Source organism: Homo sapiens, chromosome 4 (assembly GCF_000001405.40).
Source record: "Homo sapiens chromosome 4, GRCh38.p14 Primary Assembly".
Taxonomy (NCBI): Eukaryota; Metazoa; Chordata; class Mammalia; order Primates; family Hominidae; genus Homo; species Homo sapiens.
In genome coordinates this window covers 131201208-131209980 of record NC_000004.12, presented here as the reverse complement: position 1 = coordinate 131209980, position 8773 = coordinate 131201208, and the positions used below count along the sequence as shown (strand labels likewise).

Sequence of the window (8773 nt, the reverse complement as noted above, 5' to 3'; positions counted from 1 at the left end):
TAACTGGTGTGAGATGATATCTCATTGTGGTTTTGATTTGCATTTCTCTGATGGCCAGTGATGGTGAGCATTTTTTCATGTGTTTTTTGGCTGCATAAATGTCTTCTTTTGAGAAGTGTCTGTTCATGTCAAGGGATCAGGGCATTCCTTTTCCTAGTCAAAGAAAGGGGTGACAGACGGCACCTGGAAAATCACCTGGTCACTCCCACCCGAATACTGTGCTTTTCCGAGGGCCTTAAAAAACGGCGGCACCAGGAGATTATATCCGGCACCTGGCTCGGAGGGTCCTACGCCCACGGAGTCTCGCTGATTGCTAGCACAGCAGTCTGAGATCAAACTGCAAGGCGGCAGCGAGGCTGGGGGAGGGGCCCCCGCCATTGCCCAGGCTTGCTTAGGTAAACAAAGCAGCCAGGAAGCTCCAACTGGGTGGAGCCCACCACAGCTCAAGGAGGCCTGCCTGCCTCTGTAGGCTCCACCTCTGGGGGCAGGGCACAGACAAACAAAAAGACAGCAGTAACCTCTGCAGACTTAAATGTCCCTGTCTGACAGCTTTGAAGAAAGCAGTGGTTCTCCCAGCAGGCAGCTGGAGATCTGAGAACGGGCAGACTGCCTCCTCAAGTGGGTCCCTGACCCGTGACCCCCGAGCAGCCTAACTGGGAGGCACCCCCCAGCAGGGGCAGACTGACACTTCACATGGCCGGGTACTCCAACAGACCTGCAGCTGAGGGTCCTCTCTGTTAGAAGGAAAACTAACAAACAGAAAGGACATCCACACCAAAAACCTATCTGTACATCACCATCATCAAAGACCAAAAGTAGATAAAACCACAAAGATGGGGAAAAAACAGAGCAGAAAAACTGGAAACTCTAAAAAGCAGAGCGCCTCTCCTCCTCCAGAGGAACGCAGTTCCTCACCAGCAATGGAACAAACCTGGAGGGAGAATGACTTTGACGAGCTGAGAGAAGAAGGCTTCAGGCGATCAAATTACTCCGAGCTACTGGAGGAAATTCAAACCAAAGGCAAAGAAGTTGAAAACTTTGAAAAAAATTTAGAAGAATGTATAACTAGAATAATCAATACAGAGAAGTGCCTAAAGGAGCTGATGGAGCTAAAAACCAAGGCTCGAGAACTACGTGAAGAATGCAGAAGCCTCAGGAGCCGATGCGATCAACTGGAAGAAAGGGTATCAGCGATGGAAGATGAAGTGAATGAAATGAAGCGAGAAGGGAAGTTTAGAGAAAAAAGAATAAAAAGAAGTGAGCAAAGCCTCCAAGAAATATGGGACTATGAGAAAAGACCAAATCTACGTCTGATTGGTGTACCTGAAAGTGACGGGGAGAATGGAACCATGTTGGAAAACACTCTGCAGGATATTATCCAGGTAATTCCTTTTCAAATTTATACATTCGATTATTGTTCTGTCCATGCTGCCAAAATATATCGAATGTTAATAATGTGCTAAGTTTCACAAAGTAGGTTTTGTGGAAAAAAGCTATTGTATTTTTTTAATTTTCAAGTCTATTGATATATATATAATTCTATGAAATACACTAACAATATTTTATATGTAATATAATATCACATATTATGACAGTTCTCCCTAAGCAAAATATATTTAAACAAAAATGACTATACATAGAAATTCATATTTAGATTAAGGAGACAAAAATAGCCTGCCTGAGAAAATGTCATTTACAAAATTGAAAACTAGAAATCAGGTAGGCACTGGGTAGTAAAGAGAGTATTTCAGGAAGAGGAGGGTTTGTGAGAAGAACTTAAGTTGTAAAATATCATTATTGGTCCAAATTTTTGAAAGAAGCTAAAGTAATTGAAGTTAAACACACTTTGAGGTTGAAGACATTTTGTTCATGCTGCAAACATATATTAAATATTTATGATATGCACGCCATTGTTATAATGTTAGCAGCAGTGAATTTGTACAGGTCTGCAGCAAAGTTAATTCTTGCCTCCTTGAAGGAAAGAATTCATCCAAGCAGCACAAAGAAGAGTAAGGGTTTATTAAAATGTTTTAGAGCAGGAATGAAAGGAAGTTAAGTACACCTGGAAAAGGGCCAAGCAGACAACTTGAGAGATCCAAGTGTGCTGTCTGACCCTTGACTTGGGGTTGGTATGGTTCCAGAGTTTGCTTTATCTTGGGTTGCCCGCATGCACAGTGTGTTTACTGAAGTTGTGCACGTGCTCATTTGACACGTTTTCCCTTACCGCTCAAGTGTTCCAAGAGAAAGGTCATACACCTGTTAAACACCGTTTGACCTCTTAGTGCACTCTGGAGCCCACTCGGCTAACTCCTGAGATCTTATCAGGAAGCTGCTGATCATTAGCTTCAGATGTTCTCTATCTATTGGGAAACTGTCCTGCCCTGGTGCTGGCAGCAACCAATTTTTATTTTAGAAAGACAGTGTAGCAACTGTCTGACCATAACCTTATGGTCACCACACATTCCTGGTTGGGGCAGAGGGCCCTCTCCTTCCCTGCTGATGTCTGCCTAAGTACCTACTCTAACAATATCGGTTATCATTAAAATTTGCCAAGCATCAATCTAAACTCATCACATGTGTTAATTCTTCAGTGTGCAAATACTCCTAAAGCACAGGTATCTTCTCTTAACAAAAGAGAAAATTTAGGGATTAAGCAGTTGAGTGACGCGTTTAAGGCCGTGCATGGGGGGAATGACAAAGATACATTTCAATGCTGTTATTCTAGCTATTAAGTTTTCATAACCAATATACTATTCTGCCAGTCACAAATTTCATATTTTAATCTATGGGCAATGGGAACCATGGAAAGATTTAATGTTTTGGAATATAAACTTTATTCCAAAATATCACAACCGGCTGTCTTGTGCAAAATGACATGGAAATCAGCAAGAATGGAAGTGGGGAAATAAATTAGTAAGCTACTGTTGTACTTTAGATATAATTAATATTGGCTTTGTTTAGGGCAGTAGTAGTTTTGATGGAGACAATTGTATACTGGGCAATTCATTAAAGGATTTGTGTCAGCCTAAAGACTGCTAGTAAAAAACAAAACAAAACCAAAAGAGAAAGAGAAATAGAAAAGGGGGGCATTTTATTGAAATGGAGGAAAGTGGAGAAGATATAGAGTATAAAAAAACAAAAGATATGTCAGGAAAATGTTTAAATGGAGATGCCTCAAATGTCCAAATATTTTACTGTTACGTAAGCTCAGGTTTAAGAAGAAATGGTAATTATTAAAATGGGAATTAATGAAATTAGCTACAAGAAGCAATGTAACATACATTTAGGTATAAAACAGTATTTAGAAAACATTATTTGGATCCTAAGTCTATTCATTGATACTAGAATCTCACTCCTTTCTTCTTGCCTTTCTCACAGATACAGATGATGTTTATCTATCTGCTTTAGACATATCTTTTATAAACTACATATTTATTTTATACTGATATTTTATACATATATACACACAATAAAAGAGTAGGTATTTTTATGTCTCTAACTGTGTCTCTTCATATATATATATATGCCTACACACTAAAAACATGTTTATTGTGATACTGCCAGTCCAATCCAACACTCAGGGTTTATTCTTTATTTCCCCTTTTCAATATTTGTAACTCTATTCTCTGATAGTAAGAAAACTGGCACTAACTATTCATATTATATTTAGGTATATGCTCAGTCTAGAATATATCTGAAATAATTTCTGTACTGCAAATCCATACCACTTTGAAACACAATACCATTATCTTGGATTCAATGTTTGTTTATAGTTCTTTATTTTTTACTTTTGTCTTTGGCTTGATTGTATGTAGTCAAAATCCTGGACTCCAGATTTATTAGGTTTTCTGTTGGCTTTTTATTTTGTTTTTCATTTAAGGTGCTTATCTTAGTTATTTGAGATACACAGAAATTCATTGCTTCTGTTAGTATCCTTTGTTGATTTGTTTGTGAATATGCAAAAAGTTAACATGGTTTCAGAAAGTAGAACTATAGGGAAAGTTTATTCAAAGAAGTGTCCCTCTTTAATTCTTCCATCCCATTACCACACACTTTCTTTTCATTTTATTTCCAGCTCCTCTGTATAAACAATCTCATTATTTGCTATCTTATTTCAAGATTAGAAAAGGAAATAACAGAATAACTTGGTCATTTATTATGTCAGAAAGTAAGTTAGCCCATAGAATAAAATAAAAGTTCATAAATTCCTACTGGTTTGAGCAAATAAACATATACAGGAGAAGGAGAACCATCTCTTCCATAGAGTATAATTTTAGTGAATAAATGTGGAAGACATTGAGGGATCAAGAACAATCACCATACTGCAATAATAAAAATAATTATTTTAATTAAGAATTAGTAGGTGAGACTAGTGAGTGAAAGCTAGACGAGAAATAAAATATTTAGAGAATTGCCAAATGTCCTACAAGAGGTACTTATTAATTATACTTGGCAAAATATTATTTGATCTGTAAATTGGATTATAGTGTTGTATTAGCTCCTATTTCACGATTTTAATAATTATTTATTATTTACTATTATAATTTTTTAATTTTAGATTTAATGCAAAAATAATTTAAGTAGCTATGAATTAAAATAATAATTCAATAAAATATGCACTTACTGACTAAAACGTAATATATGGTGTGCATATAAAATATTGTTGATGTCAAGGAGCACTTGAGAGAATATGCATAAATAAAACTATATTGCATAGTGTAATAAAAAACATATGAAAAAGTGCAATAGGAATTCAATGTTTATTTTATTTTATTTAGTGGAGAAAGAAAGACAGTTCTGCTATAATGTGAGTAACAGATTTCTCTAAATTCTGAATGATTGTCTGAATCATGTCACCGTAATGCTCATGTCATTTTCATCTCCAAATGGCTCAATGTGACCTTTTCATCCTTACATTTCAAAATAAGCCTAGGTGCCATACCAACAGGATATTAAAGATATTCAAGTAATTAGAGGTGTGGGAAATTAAAAATATAATGAAGGGATGTGAGTGAAAATGTAAAAACTGACACACTTTCATTGCCATGTTTTTCCTAAACCCCCAATACAAAGAGATTTTAAAATTATACTGAATTATTAGGCTTTTGGAAAATGTCCATGGTACAGATCTTTGTTTATATATCAACAGAAACATACTAGCTAGGTAGAGCAGTTTAGAGTCAAATTAAACAATCTCTGTTACCCTTTGTCACATTTTTATTGGCATGTACAGGTTTAGGTTTGCCATCTAAAAAGTAAAATATCTATATTCATTTCCTCTTAAATAATTTGCTTGCGTATTTGAATATGGCACCACTGGATAAATGACAACATCTTCCTATGGACTCCTGGTGAAAAATGCCAAACGTTATTATTATTATTATTATTATGTTATTTATTTTTTTGAGATGGAGTTTCACTCTTGTTGCCCAGGCTGGAGTACAGAGGTGGGATCTCGGCTCACTGCAACCTCTGCCTTCCACATTCAAGCAATTCTCCTGCCTCAGCCTCCCGAGTAACTGGGATTACAGGCGCCCGTCACCACACCCAGCTAATTTTATTATTATTATTATTATTTTTAGTAGAGACAGGATTTTATCATGTCGCCTGGCTGCTCTTCAACACCTGACCTCAGGTGATCCACCCGCCTCGGCCTCCCATAGCTGGGATTACAGGTGTGAGCCACTGTGTCCAGCCCAAATGTTACTATTATGTTATCATTTCATGTATAAAATGTGATTATGCCTTAGAAAAACTAATAACAAAAATATTAAAGAAACATGGAAAAAGGTGCATGCATTAAGTCTAACATAGTGCAGTTAACAAATACCAAGTTACTGGATTTTTTTCGTTTTTGTTTTTTCGTAGTCCTTTACATTCTCTCATTGATTCTTCCCAGTTTTAAAAAATAGAATGTAATTTTTGGCCCAGTTCTTCTATAATCAGGTTCTGAGAGAGAGACTCACTTACAGGAAGTTTATTAGTGAGTGTGCCTGAGAACAACATTTGTAAAAGATTAAAGAAATCCTGGATTGGGCGTAATGAAGAGTTGAACAACAATGAAGTTGTTAATAAAGACTCAGTCTATCCAATGGGGATCTCTGGAGCTGGTATGGGTTTTTAAAGTTGCCTAGAATTGAGTCAAGGGAAATACCTTTTGCATTATTCTATTGACCAGTCAGTGGATGAATGATAGTCACAAGAAAGGATTTAAAAGTGCGTGGCCAAAAGCAATGCATGAGAAGGGACTCAGCCATGAGCAGTCAGCAGTGGGGGCAATGAGTGCTTTAATTTTACAATCAGAATCTTGAAGTCCTATTTAATTTTGCTCTTAAATTGTAATTCTAAATAAAAGAACATCTTAAGCATAATAAAACAATATGCCTTGTTGATATTTTTGTTAACAATTTTCTTTCCACTTTGAAACAAATTAGAGCCCATAAACAAGGTAAAAGCAAAAGCACAGCAGGGATTCTGTGAAACATATGATCTATTTAGGTACCATTCTTTACTTCTTGTTGTGTTTCCAGTTTCAGAGCTTTGGGGATGTTGCTTCTCATTGCAGGGCTGCCAAACATGGTTGACTATTATGTTTGTAATTTGTGAGCAACAGCTGCTATTTCATTTTTCAATGTTGGGGGTCTAAATAGATCACATAATAAACCTTAGAATAAAAGAAGCACTCATTTTACAACCATCCAATCTGTGCCTGTGCAGATGGCACTATCCTTTCTTTTCTGAAAAACATTTTTTTCTTGTTCCTAATATTTCTGTTTGCCTTTGTTATACTGCACTTTCAATATAGTGTTCACAATTTCATAAACTTCTTGACTTTACTGAAACTTGATTAACTCTCTTCCTCCTTGAAAACACAGCATATTTTGTTATACCATTCCTCCCTGCCTCAGAAGAAGAGGCATTATTACATTTTTCAAGCAGTAAAACAGTCATCATTCCTTTCCTCTAATATGCTCCCTTTGATTTTGCTTTTAACAATTATTCCAGCTCTCTCATATCTCAAAAGCATCAATCAGATACCATCTTTCCTCTTATATGCAATAATGGTTAACTCCCCTCCACCCATGACAATGACTTAAAAGTCATTTCTTATCATCATTGCAGGATACTGGTCAATTAATTTTCTTGCTTTGATTGTGAAATTCCCAGTAAATAGAATTCTCACTTGATATGTATTTTAACTCACTCAGTAACACTCAATGCAACCAAACATAAGTAATTATATTTCATTTCCCTAAAACTATTTTCTCAAGTCTATTCAAATAATATTTCTTACCTTATTTGAAAGGTGAATTGAAAACTCGCCCAGGAATAAGGTACTCATTACATCAGGAGGAAGCCCCTTTAGCACTTATTAAGCCATAGTATACCTTTCCCTAAGTTTAGTTTGTGCTCCAATGACCTGTGGGGAAGTATATCAACTAAGATTATTTTTACCCACTTTTCTTGACAAGGGACCATTTTCTTATATCATATTGATTGTTTTTAAACCAGATAAGCACCTTAGATAATTCTACTAATTTTATGAGCCAATCTCTCTGTAACGCTTTTTTGCCATTCGTATTAATTCAATTTTATATATTGAACTAGACCACAGTATTTTCATCTTGGCACTATTAACATTTTAGGCTAGATAAGTTTTTTTGAAACCATCCTATGTACAGTATGATATTTCACAGCAGTATCTTTGACCTCTATCTACTGTATGATATTTCACAGCAGTATCTTTGACCTCTATCTACTGTATGATATTTCACAGCAGTATCTTTGACCTCTATCTACTGTAGGATATTTCACAGCAGTATCTTTGACCTCTATCTACTGTATGATATTTCACAGCAGTATCTTTGACCTCTATCTACTGTATGATATTTCACAGCAGTATCTTTGACCTCTATCTACTGTAGGATATTTCACAGCAGTATCTTTGACCTCTATCTACTGTATGATATTTCACAGCAGTATCTTTGACCTCTATCTACTGTATGATATTTCACAGCAGTATCTTTGACCTCTATCTACTGTAGGATATTTCACAGCAGTATCTTTGACCTCTATCTACTGTAGGATATTTCACAGCAGTATCTTTGACCTCTATCTACTGTAGGATATTTCACAGCAGTATCTTTGACCTCTATCTACTGTAGGATATTTCACAGCAGTATCTTTGACCTCTATCTACTGTAGGATATTTCACAGCAGTATCTTTGACCTCTATCTACTGTAGGATATTTCACAGCAGTATCTTTGACCTCTATCTACTGTAGGATATTTCACAGCAGTATCTTTGACCTCTATCTACTGTAGGATATTTCACAGCAGTATCTTTGACCTCTATCTACTGTAGGATATTTCACAGCAGTATCTTTGACCTCTATCTACTGTAGGATATTTCACAGCAGTATCTTTGACCTCTATCTACTGTAGGATATTTCACAGCAGTATCTTTGACCTCTATCTACTGTAGGATATTTCACAGCAGTATCTTTGACCTCTATCTACTGTAGGATATTTCACAGCAGTATCTTTGACCTCTATCTACTGTAGGATATTTCACAGCAGTATCTTTGACCTCTATCTACTAAATGACAGATTTAGCACACCTCCTCCAAGCTGTGATAAAAATGTCTCCAGACGTTGCAACCTGTCCCCTGAGAAGCAAAATTGTTTGTGGGAACCACTACAGAGATGAATAAAGAGAGGTTATAGAATTCAGAAGAAGTCATATGCAATAATGTTAGTAGTTTTAGAGCAC

At 36.1% G+C, this 8773-nt stretch overlaps 1 annotated feature.

The window, feature by feature from the left end:
* Positions 348 to 946: an enhancer, noted in NCBI's record as "NANOG-H3K27ac-H3K4me1 hESC enhancer chr4:132130190-132130788 (GRCh37/hg19 assembly coordinates)". NCBI's record gives its function as "activates a minimal SCP1, AML or CMV promoter by ChIP-STARR-seq in naive H9 embryonic stem cells {active_cell/tissue: H9 hESC(naive)}" and the evidence as "EXISTENCE:reporter gene assay evidence [ECO:0000049][PMID:30033119]".